Source organism: Homo sapiens, chromosome 14 (genome assembly GCF_000001405.40).
Source record: "Homo sapiens chromosome 14, GRCh38.p14 Primary Assembly".
Lineage (NCBI taxonomy): Eukaryota > Metazoa > Chordata > Mammalia > Primates > Hominidae > Homo > Homo sapiens.
The window spans coordinates 90,350,633-90,373,647 of record NC_000014.9 but is presented as its reverse complement, the minus strand read 5'-3'; the positions used below and the strand labels follow the sequence as shown (position 1 = coordinate 90,373,647).

The 23,015-nt window shown below is 42.8% G+C and overlaps 1 long non-coding RNA gene and 1 pseudogene across 1 annotated transcript, besides 1 other annotated feature; one reads left to right on the top strand and one right to left on the bottom strand.

Annotated features, from left to right (window-relative positions):
• Positions 1-4,724: 4,724 nt before the first annotated feature.
• LOC105370618 (uncharacterized) lies at positions 4,725-9,094 on the bottom strand. Its single transcript, XR_944132.3, has 2 exons — positions 8,986-9,094; positions 4,725-4,948 (listed from the first exon to the last, which is right to left on the bottom strand). It is a non-coding gene; the product is annotated as an uncharacterized LOC105370618 (long non-coding RNA).
• On the top strand, positions 6,426-7,013 carry RPL21P11 (ribosomal protein L21 pseudogene 11; annotated as a pseudogene).
• Positions 20,199-20,391: a silencer, noted in NCBI's record as "fragment chr14:90819601-90819793 (GRCh37/hg19 assembly coordinates)". NCBI's record gives its function as "represses an EF-1alpha promoter that drives an FKBP-Casp9 reporter gene in an ReSE screen in K562 erythroleukemia cells {active_cell/tissue: K562}" and the evidence as "EXISTENCE:reporter gene assay evidence [ECO:0000049][PMID:32094911]".

The window sequence follows — 23,015 nt, the reverse complement described above, 5'->3', positions numbered from 1 at the left end:
GCGCCACCACACCCAGCTAATTTTTGTATTTTTAGTAGGGACGGGCTTTCTCCATGTTGACCAGGCTGGATGAATTCATATTTTTAAGAAATGGGGGCCGGGCTTGGTGGCTCATGCCTGTAATCCCAGCACTTTCGGAGGCCAAGGCAGGTGGATTACCTGAATTCAGGAGTTTGAGACCAGCCTGGCCAACATGGTGAAACCCCGTCTCTACTGAAGATACAAAAATTAGCCGGACGTGGTGGCACATGCCTGTAATCCCAGCTACTTGGGAGGCTGAGTCAGGAGAATCGCTTGAACCCAGGAGGCAGAGGTTGCAGTGAGCCAAGATTGCACCACTGCATTCCAGCCTGGCAAACAAGAGTAGAACTGTCTCAAAAAAAAAAAAAAAGAAAGAAAGAAAGAAAGAAACAAATGGGATTTATTCTGTCACCAAGGCTGGAGTGCAATGGTGCAATTGATGCAGGTTTTTTTTTAACTTATGCAATTATTAGTTTACTATAATAGTATCATCCAGAACTCAGATGTTCAGTATTCCTCCTGAAATTACATAAACAAGTATAATTGGGAAGAATCCAAGTCAAAATTATATAACAAAACAGCACTTCATCACAAAAGCATGGAAAATAATCTAGAGTCCTCGTGTAAAGATGAGAACATACTTTTGTGTTAGTCCTTCAAGGACGGACTTTCAAAATGTTTTATTCTGATGATGCCACGCTCTGAGTAGATCGGTTACTCTTCACTTTGTAGATATAAGTGGGCTGTGTGAAATTTGTTATCAACTGATCAAGATTTTTGAGTTTCAGATATGGATGAAAATCATCTCAGTTTAACTTTAATTTATCCCCATTTTGATATGCAGGGTATATACACAAAAGCTTTTTTATCAGCTAACTATATGAAAAGGTAAACACTGGACCAGGCACAGTGGCTCATGCCTGTAATCCCAGCACTTTGGGAGGGAGGCTGAGGCGGGTGGATCATCAGAGATCAGGAGTTCGTGACCAGCCTGACCAACATGGTGAAACCCCATCTCTACTAAAAATACAAAAATTAGCTGGGTGTGGCGGTGGGAGCCTGTAATCCCAGCTACTCAGGAGGCTGAGGCAGGAGAATCGCTTGAATCCAGGAGGCGGAGGTTGCAGTGAGCCAAGATCACACCATTGCACTCCAGTCTGGGTGACAGAGCGAGACTCCATCTCAATAAAAGAAAAGAAAAGAAAAAAAAAAGTGTTTTCACTTTGAGATGTGTAAGTCAGAAACAAGTATTTACAGAAGAAAAAGCTAATTTTTAAAGTTTACATGTACTGAGCAACTGAAAAATAAATATAGTTTTTAAATAGTCATATGGGAGATCATTTACCCTTTGAAAATCATCATGAAAAAATATTAAACAATGTCATTTCTATGTGCTAAATCCTGGGAACAACAGATAATCTACCTATGCATGCAGGTGAGGTATAGACCAGAATTTATTGTCTAGTGTCTTGTTTTATCTTACCGTTTGTTGATATAACATGATGTTTTATTTTTTTGAGATGGGGGTCTCACTATGTGACATGGGGACACTATGTGTCCCCACCCAAATCTCATCTTGAATTGTAGTTCCCATAACCATGTGTGGTGGAAGGGACCCAGCAGGAGATAAGTTAATTATGGGGGCAGTTACTCTAATGCTGTTCTCGTGATAGTGAGTTCTCACGAGATCTGATGGTTTTACAAGGGGCTTTTCCCTCTTTTGCTGGGCACTTCTCCTTGCTGCTGCCATGTGAAGAAGGATGTGTTTGCTTCCCCTTCCACCACGATTGTAAGTTTCCTGAGGCCTCCCCAGCCATGCTGAACTCTGAGTCAATTGAACCTGTTTCCTTTATAAATTACCCAGTCTCGGGTATGTCTTTATTAGCAGCACGAGAACAGACAAATACACTGTATTACTCAGGTTGGTCTCAAACTCCTGGACTCAAGTGATGCAAGTAGCTGGGATTATAGGTGTGCACCATGGCACTCAATGTAAAAGTATTTTTGAAATTTCATTTTGTTTTTTATAATTTGCTTTAAATTGCTTTTTTATTCAACATATATATTTTCTCTTTCGTAGTCAAAAGCTGTCTTTAATCATTTTGGTTATGTTTTTACATAGATTCTGAGTGAAAGTCTCCCCGTGAGTTGTCTGTGAACAGATTTTAAGTTATAACACTGGTTATAGGTAAAGATTTACTACAGAAGAACATGAAAGAAAAATAAAGACATATTATAGTTATTATATATAAATTTTTTAAACCCCAAGAAATAAACTACAGGGTGACATTATAACAATATTTATCAAATAAGAATTTTTAGATGAGTGTTCACCAGATGCATCCTTTTATACAAGACACAGTATAGTATAGTATGTCTATTATCTTAAACTCATAAATTGCAAATATGTTATGAATAAATCAGATTCCCTTCAACTGTAATTTTGCCTTCTTTATTAATCTTTCTACATCTGGTTTCCATTGCAGTTCTATACGCAGCCATCAAACAGGTTGTCTTTAAGATTTTTTCTTTTAATTTTTTATTTTAATATAATTTCAGTCTTACAGAAAATTTACAAGAATAGTACAAAGAATACCTATGTACTTTTCACTCATATTTCCCAGATTTAACATTTACCACACTGGCATCTAGGCTTGCGCTCTCTCTCTCTCTGTCTCTCTCTCTCGGTGGACATGATGCTCCTTTGTCCCTAAATGTGTCAGTGTGTAATTCCAGAAACAAGGTCATTCTTTTACATAGCCATAGTACAATTATCAAAATCAGGAAATGGATACAACGCCATTGTCTAATATTGCCTGTTCTATAGTGGTCATTTGAATTTTGCCAGTTGTCGATAATGGCAATAACGTTCTTCATAGCAAAATGAAATCCTGGATCATGTATTGCATTCAGACGTCCTTTCTCTAGTCTCATTTAATCTGAAATTGTTTCCCAGTCTTTCTTTGTTTTTCATGACATTAACTAATTTACTGATTTCTAGCCAATCAATATACCGAGAATTTTTAAGGAGGTGAGTATATTCCGAGAAACTGAATTAATCACTGTCAAAATGCACAGGCAAATGCTTAGGTGCTAATTATCTTATGTTACATTCACTTAAAAAATTATGCCCAAGGAAATGCTAGAGCAAAGGGTGAGCAAAAAACAACTTAGAATTCTAAATTTTTCCCCTGTTCTAACCCAATCCAATCTCCTTTTTATAGATGAGTAAATAGGAGAAAATAGAGTAAGACACATTAGATGAGTGATAAAAAATCCTCCAGCTCTCCTGCTTCTTGGATCTCTGTACATTTCTCTGTAGCATAATGCTTACAAAAAGTTGTAGTTTGGCTTATTTTTATTAATTCCATCCACTGTGTTGGGTTTGTCTAAGAATTCTGCCCAGCAGTGACCTCTGTTACATGTTTATCATATATAATAGTTGATATTTGGTGAATATCTTAATGTTTATAATGTAATGCTTGTCATATAGAAGTTAAATATGCCTTAGGACTACCCACATAGTATTTGGATAGCAGTGTGTCAATTTTTCCAAGACACAAGTGTAAGGTGAGCTTATTCTATACATCATGGAAGACAAGGTGCGCTCCAGGTTATGTACTGAAGGAGGGAGCCTCTTAATGAGATACTTCTCTAAGCTTTCCACCACAGTGTCCCTGATAGCACAGAGGACTGAAGAGCTGTACTGCTGCAGGCCTGCACAGTGGCCTGATCTAGCCTACATAAAGCTACACATTACTTTGAACCTTTATGCATTTCATGTTTGACATTCATACACATTTTATGTTCCTTCTAATTAAAAAGATGTTGCCCCCCACCACCACCAAAATCATCAAAGGAGATAGTACTTATTTATCCTGTGACTTCAAGTACCCCACACATCATCACACCCAGTTTGAGATGCACACAACTGGTTTATGAAGAGAGTTGTGGAATTCCATGCTTCCATGTGGAGTCCAGATCCTTGTCCTAGTGGTGACTCATGAGTGACTCTTTGACAAGGAAACAGCAATCTGTGGCAAACTGCAAGGATAGGGCTCGACAGCAGAGCAGTCATTTGGACTTTGATGCCACCATGAGGAGTTGAAGAAATACTGGGAACAATAGGACTGATACAGATTGGGAGGAAGGAGACCAGGATTCTGGTCCTCTCTCTGCTACTCACTTTGTCATGTGATCTTGGGCAAAGCTCTGGTATCTGCACTCTGGTTTCTTTACATAGAAATAGGCAGGACTAAAGTAGATGATGTTAATTTTCTTCTGGCAATAATATTTTGTGATTCAATATGAATTAATAGCATGCATTAACCTGGTAATAGTTGCTGTGTTTTTCAATTTACAAATTTAATTTGATAGATGCCCCTAAGATTGTTACCAGCCACATGCTGCTGATAATATGATGTATTTTTTTTTTCAAAGCAATCAGTGTGTATACACTTATAATTACTACTGTGAAATCTAGGCCTGCCATCTTATGGATCCTGAATGGTACTACTAGAAAGGGTGGTATGTCTGATAGTGTCAGGAGATAATTTTGACACAAATTAAGAGAATACCTGCTTATGTACATGTAGCTTGTATCCACAGGAGTTTATACAGTAGTTTGAAATTTATTTTCTTTGATAATTCTTAACTTTAAATCTGTAGGAAAAAAATCAGGTAAATCTAAGAACTTCCCCACCCCCAATTTTAATTGTTTATTGATTTCAATAATTATTTTCTAGGCAACACTTCACTTTCTAAATAGCTGGCTACAGGTAGGTCTTTTGCTGTTGAAATGTTTGGAACAAGAGACTGGTTCTTCGAGATAATTGTGCGGAAGTGCTGGCATGCATATTTTATGAAAGCTGTGATCAGCTACTCATCCACGACTGTGAAACAGTCTTCCTTTCTTCTTTTTATATAGCTAAAAGAAGATGAGAATAGATGATTTTCTGTTGCAGAAAACATTAGGGTGAGCATTTATGGAATTCACTTCTTCCACCCCCCCACCCCGCCCGCCCCCGCTGATGCACTTAGTATTTATCTTCTGTCACGTAGAGGATCCAAAACACAGAACTTCTGTTCACAATGAGCATGGGTAGAGTTAGGTAGTGAAAACACTTTTCAACTCTTTCAAAGCTGTAACTTTAAAAATACTGTAAATAGGCTGGGCACGATGGCTCACACCTGTAATCTCAGCACTTTGGGAGGCTAAGGTGGGAGGATTGCTTGAGCCCAGGAGTTTTGAGGCCAGGCTGGGCAACCTAGTGAAACCCTGTCTCTACGAAAGATGAAAAATTAGACAGGGATGGTGGCGTGTGCCTGTACTCCCAGCTACTCAGAAGGCTGAGGTGGGAGGATCGCTTGAGCCTGGGAGGTCGTGGATGCAGTGAGCCATGATTGCTGCACTGCACTCCAGCCTGAGTGACAGAGTGAGACCCTATCTCAAAAAAAAAAAAGTAAATAAAAGACAAGGGAAAAAGACTCTGATTCCCAGTTAAATTATGGAATTTGTCTCTAATTTAACTTTGGTTCAGTGCAAATCCAAATAGAATTGTTTTGCCTCCTTCCCACTAATACAATTTGAGACCCTGAAATACTTAAAGTATTGCTTCTGATGGGCATCCTGAGATTTTATCTGGGGCAAAATGGTAATTCTTCTGTTTAAGGTTGCTGGTTTTGTGACGCTTTTTAAACTGCATTTTGTTTCCCACTGGTTTTCAATTTACTTTCAGTACACTTCAGTATTTGTGGAGGTCCTAATCTCTTTCGAGTGGAAATGTAATTATAGTGTAGTAGAAGGCAATAGTGGGTCATGGCTGACAAGTGCAAGCTCCTGCCATAACCAATTTTCATTGATATGGATTCCTACAACTGAATCAAACATAGACAGCCCATATCAATCAGAGAGAACTACTGTGGAGTTCTACCCCAACCATTTTAGCTTCTCTGGGCTCCATTTTTTTTTTTTTTTTTTTTTTGCTGAATAGAGACATTGGCTGAGATTACCTCCTTCCTGCTGCCTCCCAGAAGGTTAATGCCAGGAGGTCCAAGACACATCTCATGATTTAATTATCAGATCCCCTTTCTTTAGAATTTCCTCTTGAGCCGATCAAGTCTTATTAATGATTTTTGGGAGTACCTGGGACTATAGGCTCATGCCATCACACCTGGCTAATTTTTAAGTGTTTTGTAGAGAGGGGCTCTCACTATGCTGCCCAGGCTGGTCTCAAACTCCTGGGCTAAAGCAGTCCTCCCATCTCAGCTTCCCAAAGTGCTGGGGTTACAGGCATGAGCCACCACGCCTGGCCTATTTTTCTGTATAAACTGATTATATATTTAAGATTTTTATAAATACTTTAAAAGTTTTAAATTGCTGGTCAAAGTTAAAAAGTATTCTTTTGCCTTTCGGCCGGAACCGCCATGTTCCAGTAATTCGCCAAAATGACGAACACAAAGGGAAAGAGGAGAGGCACCCGATATATGTTCTCTAGGCCTTTTAGAAAACATGGAGTTGTTCCTTTGGCCACATATATGCGAATCTATAAGAAAGTTGATATTGTAGACGTCAAGGGAATGGGTACTGTTCAAAAAGGAATGCCCCACAAGTGTTACCATGGCAAAACTGGAAGAGTCTACAGTGTTACCCAGCATGCTGTTGGCATTGTTGTAAACAAACAAGTTAAGGGCAAGATTCTTGCCAAGAGAATTAATGTGCGTATTAAGCACATTAAGCACTCTAAGAGCCAAGATAGCTTCCTGAAACGCGTGAAGGAAAATGATCAGAAAAAGAAAGAAGCCAAAGAGAAAGGTACCTGGGTTCAACTAAAGCGCCAGCCTGCTCCACCCAGAGAAGCACACTTTGTGAGAACCAGTGGGAAGGAGCCTGAGCTGCTGGAACCTATTCCCTGTGAATTCATGGCATAATAGGTGTTAAAAAAAATAATAATAATAAAGGACCTCTGGGCTACAAAAAAAAAAAAAAAAAAAAAAAGTATTCTTTTGTAGGCTGACTCTGATAGTTTACTTAAAGCATATTTGAGAAAGCTTTTCATTTCTACTTCCAGTTGCTCAAATCATGTTTCAGAATTTCTAAATCATGTACATTTGTTTTTGTTCTTTTTGTCCCCCCCTTAATCAGGTAGCAGTGTTTAATAATCCATAGGCTATAGACCTCTGCAGGGGTCTCTGGAATCTTAGCCACTTTGAATTTCCTTACAGCAGTGACATCATTTCCATTGCTAATTATATGTCAGTGCCCCTTTGGGGAATGCATTTATTCCTAAAATACACTGTCATAAAATTAAATGACTATACCAATTGCCAACAATATATTTTATAGAAATGAAATTTTGTTCACAAGAATAAATCACTATGGAAAAGATACCTCACAAATAGTGTTTTATGAGGCTCTAAGTTTCACATAAAAAAAGATAAGGTTTAAAATAATTCTGAAACATAGGGCCGAGTGCAGTGGCTCATGCCTGTAATCCCAGCACTTTGGGAGGCCGGGGCAGAAGGACCACCAGAGGTCAGGAGTTCCAGACCAGCCTGGCCAACGTGGCAAAACCCTGTCTCTACTAAAAATGCAAAAATTAGCCAGGAGTGGTGGTGGGTGCCTGTAATCCCAGCTATGCAGGAGAATCACTTGAACCCAGGAGGCGGAGACTGCAGTGAACCGAGATTGCGCCACTACACTCCAACCTGGGTAACAGAGTGAGACTCCTGTCTAAAAAACAAATAAATAAATCTGAAACTGGGCTTCAGTGAAGGACTGCAAATGTGTAATTTACACGCCAAAACATAAATGTATAGCTATCTATTTAATTTCAAAGTTCAGTTTACTTTCTGTCCTACCACAGGAATGTTCCAGTGGCCATAAATCCAGAAATGAAATCATTGCCATTTTTTTGCCTTTTACTTAATTATGCAACTAAAATATTTTTCTTTAGGCAATTACTTTTGGGAGAACAAGGTACCAGTGTACATTTAAACTGAGCCAGTTGGCTATATAGGACCTTGTGTAATAAGATGTATTTTAAAAGCTTGTTAAGCAGAATTGCTTAATAATGGAATAAGGGAATAAGTTGGGTAGAAAAGAAGCAAACCAGATCCTTCTTTTTTTTTTTTTTTTGGCCCATTTCATCTTGTATAGATCCTATTTCTGTGAAGACTCAAGCATAAGTTGAGGATCACTCTTGGTTTTCCATAGAATTTTTTTGTTATTAATAATAAAAAATAATCCAGATGTACTCAGAGATCCCTTCTAAGAATCTAAGATTTTAGTAAACTTCAAATGATCTTTTATGCAGTTAACCTTAACACTTTCAGAGGGTATGAATGGGGGGCATTTTTAGGGTATCCAGTCATTGTTAATGGGAATATATCCTGAGTTGGGGCTACGCAGAAAAATCTGTTTCCCACCTTGGTGTCTTAAAGGCATCCTGATAGTAGAGAGAGAAAAATATCCAACTCCTGTAGCTTAATAAAAGCAATTATCCATTTCAAGTTTCTTTTCTTTTTGTATAATCTTCAGCAAGTTCTTTTTAAAAAATTTTTTTTTGAGTCAGGGTCTTTCTCTGTCACCCAGGCTGGAGGGCAGTGGCACAATCATGGCTCACTGCAGCCTTGACCTCCCGGGGCTCAGGTGATCCTTCCACCTCGGCCTCCGGAACAGCTGGGATCACAGGCACATGCCATAATGCCCAGTTAATTTTCATATTTTTTTGTAGAGACAGAGTTTCACCATGTTGCCCAGGCTGGTCTCAAACTCCTGGGCTCAAGCGAGCCCTCTGCCTCCGCCTCCCAAAGTGCTGGGATTACAGGCATGAGCCACTGTGCCTGGCCAGGAAGTCCTTTTTTAATAGGATGTGAGGTTCATTTCTTTTATTAGGTTCTAGAGTTTGATCTTCCCCAAGAGATGACTATCCTTCGATAACTAGCCATGTTTGGTGGCAGTACCTTGTAGGATCTGGAGGTTGGTTGATGGTGAAGATTATTCCATTTTAATTACGGCAGAAGAGCCTTGTGATCAGAACTCAAGGGCATGATTCTTCCTTTTGGGTGGATACCAGCTGCATATCTTCCACCACCCCTTAGCATGCATTTAGTTGAAAGAGGAAGTGGCTCCCTGGCTGCCAGTGCCTGTCCAGCGTCCATGCAGCACTGCATTAGAATTCCATGCAGCACTGCAAAGGGGTCTTGTTGACCAGGGTGAACTGTGGTTTGTTTCTGACCAACAGTAAGCTGACCCTTAGCAAAACTATGACATAAGAATGGTGAATGGTTTTTGACACCATTCACCATGGTCTTTACTTTTCCTCCTCCATGGTCATCAAGCCACAGCTTCCACCTTCAGATGTTCAGGGTATTTATTTATTTATTTATTTGTTTATTTATTTATTTATTTATTATTGAGGCTGAGTTTCACTCTTGTTGCCCAGGCTGGAGTGCAGTGGCGTGATCTCGGCTCACTGCAACCTCTGCCTCCCGGGTTCAAGAGATTCTCCTGCCTCAGCCTCCTGAGTAGCTGGGATTACAGGCACCCGCAGCCACACCCGGCTAATTTTTTGTATTTTAGTAGAGACAGGGTTTCACCATGTTGGTCAGACTGGTCTCGAACTCCTGACCTCAGGTGATCCACCTGCCTTGGCCTCCTGAGGTGCTGGGATTACAGGCGTGAGCCGCCGTGCCTGGCTCAGGGTATTGATTTTGTATTCTCCACAGCATAACCTCTCTGCAAGCTTTCTGGAAAGGAAGTGTTATTAATATGCAAATGCAAATTTAGGTTAATGTCTTACCTCTCTCAGGAGTATGTACATTTCAAACTTTTCTAGTTATGGAATGATAGATTCATCTGGCAGCAAATGTATTCTAGGGCCCTTCTGGAAATTATATCAGGTTAAACTCTCTTTTATCCTGCCTTCTTTTAAGGTCTTAGCCTCCAGTCTCATCTCCAAGATGCCTCCTCCTACTGCTCTCTCTCCTTCGTTTATTCAGCAACTATTTATAGAGCTCCAGTATGTGCCATGCACTAGGCTAGGCACAGGAATGCCAAGATGAGCTAAAGAAAGGCACAGTTCCTGCTGTTTGTAGTCTCATGAGAGATTCTGATATTGTCAAATAATTATATGCAGCAATGTCAAGTCATAACTGTGGTAAATGTTATGAAGGAGAAACAGCGCTGTGTGTATCTAACCACCTGGGCCCAGCCAGGGGGTCCAGGACACATTCCCTGAGAAAGTTTGAGCTGAGTTAAAGAGACAAAGGAAGTGGGAAATAAATTTGCAAGGAGAGGATTTGTTAAAGATGGTGCTGGCAGTGTTTTCCTCAGGATCCACTGCTTCTCTGCTTCCCTCCCACCTCCTGTGTGCTTCTGCCCTCAACAAGTCAACATCTGAGGAGCAGGGTCACTTGAGTGCTCTCTCTCTGGCACTTGACAGGTAGGGGATCACTGTGCCCACCGTCTTGCCCTCCTGGCTTTCCAGTGTGACAAAGCAAAGTAGGCTTCCAGTGTGTTAGATGGGAGACCCCCACTCCTCCTGCCTCAAATGGGCCTTAGAACTGGGTTGATGCTGCAGGCTGGGACAGGGGGCTTCTTACTTCCCTGTTTGTTAGAGTCTAATCTGGCAGCTGCTGTGAATATAGGAGGATCCAAAGGTCAGGTCTTTAGTAAGTCAGTTCTGGTAATTGCTATAGACTTAATGTTCGTGTCCCCTCAAAATGCATGTGTTGAAATCCTAATGCCCCGGTGTGATGGTATTAGGAGGTGGGACCTTGGACAGGGATTAGGTCATGAGGGTTGGATGGCATTAGAGACCCTGGAAAGCTCCTTCACCCCTTCTGCTATGTGAGGACACAGCCAGAAGATAGCTGTCTACGAACCAGGAAACGAGCCCTCACTAGACACAGAACATGCTGACACCTTGATCTTGGACTTCCCCGCCTCCAGAACTGTGGGAAATGAACTTCAGTTGTTTATAAGCCACCCAGTCTATGGTATTGTGTTATAACAGCCCAAACAGATGAAGACTAATCTGATGAGTAAATCATGAGACATGCCAAAGTGTCAAAATAGGTGATCATTCCCACTTTAAAAGAAAAACAAAAAGAAAAACAAACAAACAAAAAAAAACTTTGTAATTTTCAGTCACTTCAAGGCATTCCGCCTCTTCCTCCTCCTCGTCCTCATCTTCTTCTTCTTCCTCCTCCTCCTCTTCTTCTTCCTCTTCTTCTTCTTTTTGTTTTTGTTTGTTTGTTTGTTTGTTTTTTAGACAGGGTCTTTTTCTGTCCCCCAGGCTAGAGTGCAGTGATGCGATCATGGCTCACTGCAGTCTCAATGTCCTGGGCTTAAGGATCCTCCTGCTCCCCAGTACCCCAGTACCTGGGACCACAGGTGTGCACCACCACACCCGGGTAATTTTTTTTGTTTTTTGTAGAGACGAGGTCTTGCTAGGTTGCCCAGGCTGCCCTTCTATTTTTCCTTCTGAGGCAGTGGGAAAAAAGTTATATGATTATTTCATGCAGGGATTAGTCCAGGTTCAACCCAGAACAAAGGCCATCGAGTCTTCTCCATCTGGGAGATGATTCATCCTGTTGTATTCACTATTTATGGCTCCTTTTGTTTTTTGAATTCTAGATTAAATTGGTCCTTGATATGGGCATTCTGGACATTCTCTCGTGTTTTCCTGTTCTAATGTATTTCATTCTGCATTTTCTACATCCAGTTTTGTGCCCCAGGTATGCCTGTGTAGGCTGGCTTTCAGCTGAGCCTTCTTGGGCTTACTAATGCTACTGATAATGAAAGACTGAGCCCCAGTTGGTGACCAACTCAGGAACACTCCAGTTCATCCTGGTGTATATAGCCTTAGGGTTTCCATGAAAACCTTTCTTTTTAATTTTTGTCTTTTAAGAAATTATGGCTGGGTGTGGTGGCTCACGCCTGTAATCCCAACAATTTGGGAGGCCTAGCTGGGTGGATCACTTGAGGTCAGGAGTTCTAGACCAGCCTAGCCAACATGGTGAAACCCAGTGTCTACCAAAAAATACAAAAAAATTAACAGGGCATGGTGGTGCACGCCTGTAATCCCAGCTTCTTGAGAGGCTGAGGTGGGAGAATTGCGTGAATGCCAGAGGTGGAGGTGGCAGTGATTGTATCACTGCACTCCAACCTGGGCATCAGACTCTGTCTCAAAAGAAAAAAAAAAGAAATTACATATGCATTTCCTGAAATGTTTTATTGTAAAAGATTTTTAGGGTACAGTGGCTCACATTTGTAATCCTAGCACTTTGGGAGACCAAGGTGAGTGGATCACCTGAGGTCAGGAGTTCAACACCAGCCTGGCCATCATGGTGAAACCCCGTCTCTACTAAAAATAAAAAAACTGGGCTGGGCACGGAGGCTCACGCCTGTAATCCCAGCACTTTGGGAGGCTGAGGCGGGTGGATCACCTGAGATCAGGAGTTTGAGAAAAGCCTGGGCAACATGGTGAAACCCCGTCCCTACCAAAAATACAAAAATTAGCCGGGTATGGTGGCAGGCGCCTGTAATCCCAGCTACTCAGGAGGCTGAGGCAGGAGAATCGCTTGAACATGGGAGGCAGAGTTTGCATTGAGCCAAGATCGCGCCATTGCACGCCAGCCTGGGCGACAAGAGAAAAACTCCATCTCAAAAACAAAAAACAAAAAAATTAGTCGGGCATGGTGGCGGGCACCTGCAATCCCAGCTATTCAAGAGCCTGAGGCAGGAGAATCGCCTGAACCCAGGAGGTGGAGGTTGCAGTGAGCCGAGCTGAGATCCCACCACTTCACTCCAACCTGGGTGATAGAGTGAGCAGAGTGAGACTCCGTCTCAAAAAACAAAAACAAAAACAAAAAAAAAGATTTTTAAAATACAGAAGTATTTAGCGTAATATGCTAAAAAAAAAAAAACAAACCCAAAAAAACTACCTCTGTCATCTCTCTTTCTAGCACTCCCCTATCAACTCCATCCACTCTTTTCTCAGTGGGGTTTCCATCCTTTCAATATCTTTTCTGAAATACTTCTATATTTTTGAATATATATGAATATGTATGTTTGGATGTGTATGTGTATACATACACATATATTCATGAATATATATGTATATATATTTACGTATTTATAGGTTTTTTTTACATTAACAAGTTTATGTTGTACATAATATTCTATGACTTGGTTTTCTTTTCCTATGTTTTTGCAGTCTTTATCTTCCTCCTCCCTTCTACTCTCCCTTTTATTCTTTTCAAACATTGCAAAGTATTCCATAATACAGATGTATCATTATGTAACCAATTTTCTATTGATGTGTTTTGCTGTTAACAATAATGTTGCAATGAACAGTTTTACTCTTCCATCTTTGTCCATATGGGAAAGTATTTCTTTTTGGTTTTTCTTTTTTTTTGAGACGGAGTCTCATTCTGTCGCCCAGGCTGGAGTGCAGTGGTGCGATCTCCACTCACTGCAAGCTCCGCCTCCCAGGTTCACGCCATTCTCCTGCCTCAGCCTCCCGAGTAGCTGGGACTACAGGCGCCCGCCACCACGCCCAGCTAATTTTTTGTATTTTTTGTAGAGATGGGGTTTCACCGTGTTAGCCAAGATGGTCTCGATCTCCTGACCTCGTGATTCGCCTGTCTTGGCCTCCCAAAGTGCTGGGATTACGGGCGTGAGCCACCGCACCCCGCCTGGGAAAGTATTTCTTTAGGTTACGTTCACAGAAGTGGTATCCTAGGCATATGTATTCGATTTTTTGGGGAAAAGATCTGTGGCATCCCTTCTACCTCCACTACTTCCCCAACCTGTGCTTCCCTGGAACTCCCTGTTCTGCTTTGACAAATCTTCCAAGCTTCTGACGAGGGAGCTGACCAGGGGCTGGGTACTGAGTGGGCACCATGACAATGACTACTGCCAGAATCCATTCGGTCAGAGATCCAAGAAAGTCTGGAAATGTGGCAAAAGCAGACGTGTCTTAGGAGGAGCTGCTGACACCTCTTCCTGGATGCCCAGGAGCACAGATAGTGCTCTAGAAAGCAGGTAGCTAAGATTCTGGGCTTTGAAGGAGGATACAGCACATGTTGGAATCTTAGTTCGCTTTAGTGGAAATTAACGTCTTCCAAGTCTCTACCTGACAATATAAGTTGAAACAATTGGCCAGCTTGTGTTTAGAAAAAAAAAAAAGTTTGATTTCTATTTTACATCATACATCAGCATAAAATTTCAGATTAATTAAAGAATTAAATGTATGAATTGAAACTAGAATGAACTAGAAGAAAATTTTGATGAATATTTATATATTCTAGGGATGGCCTTGACTTTTCTAAACATGACACCAAAAGCAGAAACAATAAAATAAGCTGGTTTGACTAAAAGGAATTTGCAAAAACTTTCACATGACAATAAATTCCAACTTAAGCAAAAACTTATGATGCAAAACAATCTGTGAGAATATATTTGCGGAATATATGTCAGATCTGCGTAACATCCTATATACATATATATGAAGAATTCTAATACATACATAAGAAGGCTGGGAACTATGGCTCACTCCTATAATCCCAACACATTGGGAGGCCGAGGCAAGCAATTCTCCTGCCTCAGCCTCCCGAGTAGCTGAGATTACAGGTGCCTGCCACCATGCCCAGCTAATTTTTTGTGTTCTTAGTAGAAACAGGACTTTGCCATCTTGACCAGGCTGGTCTTGAACTCCTGGGTTCAAGTGATCCTCCTGCCTCGGCTTCCCAAAGTGTTGGGATTATAGGCGTGAGCCACTGCACCTGGCCAGGACCAGCTTTTTAAACAAGCACTGCTGGTAATGCAGGTGCAGTGGCCGCCTGACCACCCTTTGGGACCAGTGACTGGACTGACCTTTTATGATGGCGTAGGTGTCACGGGTACCTTTGAAACTTTCTCAATCCCAGAAGGTTAGATCTGCCATAAAGGAGGCTTGGCTAGCAAATGGTGTGCGCTTCATTCAGAAATGTTAATGGTAATGTCATGGAGGAAGCATGACTCTTCAGTATGGGTAATGTGTTGATCACAGTTTGAGCATTTACTATGCACAAGGCATAGTACTAAGTACTTCACATGTGTGATCTCATTGTCTCCACCCTTATGAGGGAGATAATGATTCTACACAGGTTCGAAGTATTAGGGAGTGATTTGAATCCAATTCTGTCTGATTCCAAACTTGTACTTTTACTTACTTGCTCTCAATTTGCAAACTTTATGCCCCTGATATTGTAGAGCTGGGGGCTCGCAATTGAGGATGACTTTAGTTGCCCCTATCAGAATGACTTGAAAGGTTGTGGTAATACTAAAGGTTTTTATAATTTTAAATAGTAAAAGAAAATTTTAAACCTGTTTTCACTGCAGCCTCTGCCTCCCGGGTTCAAGCAATTCTCCTGCCTCAGCCTCCCGAGTAGCTGGGATTACAGGTGCCTGCCTGTACAGGCTGGGCATGGTGGCTCATGCCTGTAATCCCAGGACTTTGGGAGGCCAAGGTGGGAGGATTGCTTGAGCCCAGAAGTTTGAGACCATCCTGGACAACATGGTGAGACTCCATCTCTACAAAAAATTAAAAAATATTAGCCAGGCATAGTGGCGTGTGCCTGTGGTCCTAGCTACTGGAGAGGCTGAGGAGGATCGCTTGAGCCTAGGAGTTTGAGGCTGTAGTGAGCTGTGATTGCACCACTGCTTTCCAGCCTGGGTGACAGAGTGAGTCTCCATCTCAAAAAAGTAAATAAATAAAATCAGATTTTCAGCTAAGCATTTTTCAGGCTTTGGAGATTGCTCTGTAGCATACTCTCAATTTTCCTAACAATACATGAGGTTTTTTTATTTCTAAGGGCTGCAAATGACATTTGTTGTGGGATTACAATTCCTTCTCTGCAGATCCCAGACTTGAATGAGTTTGCATATCAGCAAACCAAATCGAGAGTACCTATTACTGATAATAGAATTTCTTTACAAGTTCTAGGCATCGACTATGTCTAGAAGTCTAAAAACTACTCTCCAAATCAGCAGTCTACATGGTTCACGCTCCCTGGATTCTCAGCTACTCACTGTCCTCTTCTACTTAAAAGCAGAACTGTTCCTTCTTGAGGTGCAAGGATTAAATTCTCCCAATCTTCTCCTGGCCATATAATTTTGCATTTTGCAGGCTCTTCAGGGCAGGTGGCAGGATGGTTCCTGCAAACAAAGAGAATGGTTATGACCCCCTCAGAGTTTGTCTAACTAGCGGATGGACAGTGGAGCAGTTGGGAATGTTTGAGTAAGCAAGAATAACAACAACAACAACCAAATACCTTCTCAGTAAGAGAAACTGTCATTCCAACAGACTGTGGATGTGCTTTTTAAACTGCTAAATGTCAAACCAGTTGATAGGGTCAAATATTGACAAGCATTCAAATGGACTTTTTCTTATCAAATAGAGAACCTTGTTGCAAAATCATTATTTACGGTCTACAACAGTTGATCATCTTGTTAGAAATGTTGACTAAGGCTGGGTGCAGTGGCTCATGCCTATAATCCCAGCACTTTGGGAGGCCAAGGTGGGCAGATGACTTGAGGTCAGGAGTTCAATGCCAGCCTGGCTAACATGGTCAAATTCCATCTCTACTAAAAACACAAAAATTAACTGGGCTTGGTGGTGCACACCTGTAATCCTAGCTACTCAGGAGGCTGAGGCAGGAGAATTGCTTGAACCCGGGAGGCAGAGGTTGCAGTGAGCCAAGATTGCGCCACTGCACTCCAGCCTGGGCGACAGAGCAAAACTTCATCTAAAAAAAAAAAAAAAAAAAAATTAGCCGGGCATGGTGGCTGACACCTGTAGTACCAGCTACTCAGGAGGCTAAGGCAAGAGAATCGCTTGAACCTGGGAGGTGGAGGCTACGGTGAGCTGAGATTGCACCACTGTACTCCAGCCTGGGTGACAGAGGGAGACTCCGTCTCAAACAAACAAACAAACAAACAAAAAACCTTGACAAAAAGGCCTCCTGATTTTGTTTTTTAGACAGGGTCTTACTCTGTTACCCTGGCTGGAGTGCAGTGGTACAATCACAGGTCACTGCAGCCTCGACCTCCAGGGCTCAGGCCAATCCTCTCACCTCGGCCTCCTGAGTAGCTGGGACTACAGGTGTGCACCACCACGTCTGGCTAACTGTTGTACTTTTGTTGAGATAGGGTTTCACCATGTTGCCCAGGCAGGTCTCAAACTCCTGGGCTCAAGTGATCCTCCTGCTTCAGCCTCCCAGAGTGCTGGAATTACAGGCATGAGCCATCACATTCAGCCTGGATTTTTTTTTTAACTTCCCCTCAGAAATGCGTAATATAGAGGGAGGCGTAACCATGAGATACCATAACTGGGAAAATGATTTTCCCTGCTATTGCTAAGAAGATTGATTGGTTGATATAATTTAATGCCAACTTTCAGAACAGTTGAAAATTTTAGAATAATTACCTGCAAGCCCATAAAATATCACCAGGCATAATTTGCTCTGGTCCCATTTACAAACAAAGGAGCATGGAAGAAAAATGCCCCTGCAGTTCCAAAGTGCCCCCTATCCAGGAATCCACACCTTGCCTGTCATGAGGAGCCACAGAGGAAGGAATTTGCCCTGGGTGGAAAGTTCATTGAACATGCTGTGCTATTTGAAAATTGCTTGTTCCAAAAGTCCTTCAGAAACCAGTAATCCTATTAGCTTGGAACAGTTACCTACCTGCAGTAAAAAGTAATTACAAGTGTCAGCCCGCAAATAATTGCTTCAGTGTCTAAATGAATGGGGAATCTTCTTTGGGAAGAATTACTGTTCCTAAATGAGTCAGCTCAGCCCATTGTCTCTGCCTTGGTTGCTGACGAATTGGGCCATCTGCCTACACCAGTGAGGAAGGATGAAAGGGTGAGGGAGCAGGGAAGGACAGGGCCTCCCCAGAGCTCATCAGCAGAAGGGCTGTCCTGAGCCATACCGGCATGGAGGTGAGTGCTCTGCCAAGCCACCTTCAAGCCTTTCCTGAAGTCATGGGTACCCCAGGCAAGTTTCACGTCCCAGACCTTGGCCACTGGTTACATCATAAAACCTCTGAAGCTCTGGCCCTTTCCTTCCATTCTTTGCCAGTGCTCACTGAGCTTGACAAAGGGGTCTAGTAGACTGGGATCCCTGAGTACAAAACTGGGTAACAGTGTAGGGGCAATAAGGTAGACTGTTTCCAAAGGAAATGAATAGGAAGGGTCTGGCAAGGGTGGAGGATCAATTTGTATAAGGAAAAAAATCTAATGTATTGGCATCATATCTTTCCAGTAATACTAAAAAACTCAGGTGTTCAGAACTCCTAAAGCAGGGGTCCCCAACCCCCAGGCTGTGGACCAGCACCTGTCCATGGCCTGTTAGGAACGGGGCCATACAGCAGGCCAGTGAGCGGCAGGCGGGTGAGCATTACCACCTGAGCTCCACCTCCTGTCCAATCAGTAGCGGCATCGATTCTCAAAGGAGCACAAACCCTTTTGGGAACTGCGCATGCCAGGGATCTAGGTTGCAGGCTCCTTATGAGAATCCAATGCCTGATACGAAGTGGAGCAGTTTCATCCTCAAACCATCCCTTCCCTTCAGTCTCCCCTCCTCCTTTCCCCTCCCCATCCGTGGAAAAATTGTCTTCCACAAAACAAGTCCCTGGTGCCAAAAAGGTTAGAGACCATTAGGGACCGTTATCCTAAAGGACCCTACTTGCACCTCCTGAAAAGCCAGCTCTCTTTTGTGTGGTGTTTCCACCGTCACCAGTAGCTGGAAGGACTGGGATCCTGGGAAGCCTACCCCGGACTGGGAGGAGCCAGGCTATGAGCCAGCTGCCTGGTCTGTGGCTCAGATCTCAGATTTTCCAGACCTCCTTGTCATCTCCCGTAACATTGTACACAGGGGCAGTGGCTGTTGTGAGCTCTCCTGTTTTGAAATTCTCCTGTGGGCTTGGGGCGCAGCTGCGCCATGCGGTCTGAGCACTGGTGGAATGCAGTGGCCAGCCAGCCTTGAGGATGAGGGTTCGGTGGAGGGCTCTAGTGATGTTTTTTTTAAGACAGTCTCACTCGTCGCCCAGGCTGGAGTGCAGTGACACGATCTCGGCTCACTGCAACCTCCGCCTCCTGGGTTCAAGCAAGTCTCCTGCCTCAGTCTCCCAAGTAGCTGGGATTACAGGGATGTGCCATCGTGCCCAGCTAATTTTTGTATTTTTAGTAGAGACAGGGTTTTGCCATGTTGGCCAGGCTGGTCTCGAACCCCTGACCTCAGGTGATCTGCCCACCTCGGCCTCCCAAAGTGCTGGGATTACAGGCGTGAGCTACCATGCCGGCCTCCAGTGATTTGTTTCTGGAGCTCTTAGGAGCTTAGTGGAAAGGTTTTTAGCAGGCCCTCTGTGTGTGGAGGCTCAAAGGGGCCTGCTTAAGTCCAGAAGGAAACTTAGAGACACAGAACCACTGCAGATTGGGGAAGGCATAGATTGTCAGGTGGAGGTGTGGTCTAACATTGCTATGTGCCTGGAGGCTGGGACCTATGCAAGTGACTGAACTTTTCTGGTCTTGATATTAGCCATCATCCTCTTCCAATGAAGATAAGCACTTGCCCGAACCTTCTACTAGTGAGCACCGTGGACATGAAGAACAAGCCCCATCTTCTGAGCCACCAGCTTCCTGCTTGGTCTTCCATTTCAATAACGCCTAATTAGGCAACTTGGGGCTGGGCGCAGTGGCTCACATCTGTAATCCCGGCACTTTGGTAGGCCAAGGCGGGTGGATCACTTGAAGTTAGGAGTTTAAGACCAACCTGGCCAACATGGCAAAACCCTGTCTCTAATAAAAATACAAAAATTAGCCAGGCGTGGTGATGCGTGCCTGTAATCCCAGCTACTCAGAAGACTGAGGCAGGTGAATCTCTTGAACCCAGGAGGCAGAGGTTTCAGTGAGCCAAGATCACACCACTATACGCCAGCCTGGGCAACAGAGTGAGACTCTGTTTGAAAAAAAAAAAAAAAAAAAAAGGCCAGGCGCGGTGGCTCATGCCTGTAATCCCAGCACTTTGGGAGGCTGAGGCAGGCTGATCACGAGGTCAGGAGATCAAGACTATCCTGGCTAACACGGTGAAACCCCGTCTCTACTAAAAATAAAAATAAAAAAAAATTAGCCGGGCATGGTGGTGGGCTCCTGTGGTCCCAGCTACTCAGGAGGCTGAGGCAGGAGAATGGCATGAACCTGGGAGGTGGAGCTTGCAGTGAGCCGAGATGGTGCCACTGCACTCCAGCCTGGGCGACAGAGCAAGACTCCGTCTCAAAAAAAAAAAAAAAGAAAAGAAAAAGAAAAAATTGGGGTGACTTGGAGTTGTCTGCATAAGTAACAGGCGAGAGAATGGTTATGCAGCTGTGCACTAGCCCATTTTTCTCTCTTCAGCCCAAGTTTAAAATTAATATTGATTCATAATATTGAACACCTAACTTAGCTGTGAACACATTTACTCCTTAGAGACCAACAATATCAGTTTAGAATGCGTTCTGAGAAGACCTGAATTCTCTCCTAAATAATTATGCCTGGGGTTAGTTACATTTGTAATAGTAATTAATAAATGCCTGAGATGACTATTTATTAATTATTAATTCAAAGTGTATTTTCTTTCCCTCCACTTTAAATTGACTTTGTAATCATATCTATGACAAATGTTGCTAGAAAGGTGTGTATTTACTATACACCTATTAAAGACGTCATTTGACATGTAATGCACTGCTTTCAGTTGCTTAACAACTACCATGCTTTTGTAAAAACCATTCTGAATGCAAGGACTAGGGCAATAATTCATCTACTTTTTACAAAGTACTTTGTTCGACACATTTTGCTGGCAAATTTTGACCATGTGAAACTCCCAATCCCCTTTAGATAGGAAGGGGTTTTATTTTATTTTTTAGAGTTGAGGTCTTGCTATTTTTTTGAAGGGGGCTTGTATGTCCTTATGAGTGGAATTGCTGGGTCATATATATACATATGTTCAGCCTTAGTAGGGGCTGCCATGCAGTTTTCCATAGTAGTTGTACCAGTTTATATCCCCACCTGCAGTGCATGAGTGTAGATTACTCCCTATCCTTATCAATCTGGGCATTTTCTTTCTTTCTTTCTTTCTTTTTTTTTTTTTTTTGAGACAGAGTTTTGCTCTGTCACCCAGGCTGGAGTGCAGTGGTGTGATCTTGGCTCACTGCAACTTCCGCCTCCCAGGTTCAAGCGATTCTCCCACCTCAGCCTCCCCGGTAGCTGGGACTATAGGAAGGTATCACCTCGCCCAGCTCGTTTTGTGTTTTTTGGCAGAGACCATGTTGGTCAGGCTGGTTTCGAACTCCTAATCTCAGGTGATCCGCTCATCTTGGCCTCCCAAAATGCTGGGATTACAGGTGTGAGCCACCTCGCCCAGCCTGGCATTTTCTTTTCTTTTCATTTTAGCTATTCTGATGGTTAGGTCATGGTATTGTATTATTTAAATTTGAATTTTCAGGATGGCTAGTGGAGTTGAACACCTCTCAAAAGTTAATTAGGCATTTATTTTTATTTTTTAACTTTTATTTTAGGTTCAAGGTCTTGCTACATTGCCCAGTCTGGACTTGAACTCCTGGGGTCAAGCCATCCTCTCACCTTGACCTCCTGAGTAGCTGAACCTACAGGTGTGCCCAGCTCCATATGTTTGTATTTATTTATTTATTTATTTATTTATTTATTTATTTATTTATTGAGATGGAGTTTCACTCTTGTCGCCCAGGCTGGAGTGCCAGGGTGCGATTGCGGCTCACCGCAACCTCTGCCTCCCGGGTTCAAGTGATTCTCCTACCTCAGCCTCCCAAGTAGCTGGGATTACAGGCATATGCCACCACGCCTGGCTAATTTTGTGTTTTTAGTAGAGATGGGGTTTCTCCATGTTGGTCAGGCTGGTCTCGAACTCCCGACCTCAGGTGATCCACCTGCCTCGGCCTCCCAAAGTGCTGGGATTACAGGTGTGGGCCATCGCGCCTGGCCTCCATATGTTTTATTTTAAATATAACATTCCACATTTATTCTGTAAATGTCAAGTGCTACTCTCTCCTAAGCACTGGGCTAGGCGCCTAAGTGCGGTAGAAATTGAGAATAAGCACTTGACTGCTTTCTGCTTTTATTTACCTTGGAGAGCTCATCTTTTTACAAGGGTTTAAGCTCTGTGCAGATATTTCCAAATGTTTAATATATATTAACATTTATTATAATAATATTATTATGTATTATGATATATATCATATTAACATTTCCAAATATTTATACTCTGGAGCCACATGCCCACTCAGTTATTCTGTCGTCTGAAACTAAACTCTCTCTGGGCTGCTCTTGGTCTGTGAAGCATCTTTGGCTGGGCCTTGAAGTGTGGATAGGTGTGGGGAAGTGGGTATGGGAGGGGTTCTCGGGAAGAAAACAGCAAACGAATTAGGAATAGAGGTGAAATGGTGGCGCCAAGGTGAGTAGACTGGCCTGACTCCTGCAAACCTTTCAGATGAGATCGGGCATGTTCAGGATGGTATGGCTTTAGACTCCTGCAGACGTTTCAGACAGACAGGAGTGGGAGTGGCTAGCCCCTGTATTCCATTGATTGAAGCAGTGGTGTTGCGTCCTCGTCCCGTCCCGAATGGGCTGGAAGGAGGAGATGGGAGTGACCTAGTCAGGATGCTGTTTTTTGTTTGTTTGTTTGTTTGTTTGTTTTTTGTTTTTTTGAGACGGGGTTTTGCTCTGTCGCTCAGGCTGGAGTGCAGTGGCAGGATCTAGACTCACTGCAATTTCCGCCTCCAGGGTTCAAGCTATTCTCGTGCCTCAGCCTCCTGAGTAGTTGGGATTACAGGCGCGCACCACCATCCCCAGCTATTTTTTTTTTTTTTTTTTCTGAGATGAAGTCTCGCTCTGTTACCCAGGCTGGAGTGCAGTGGCATGATCTCGGCTCAC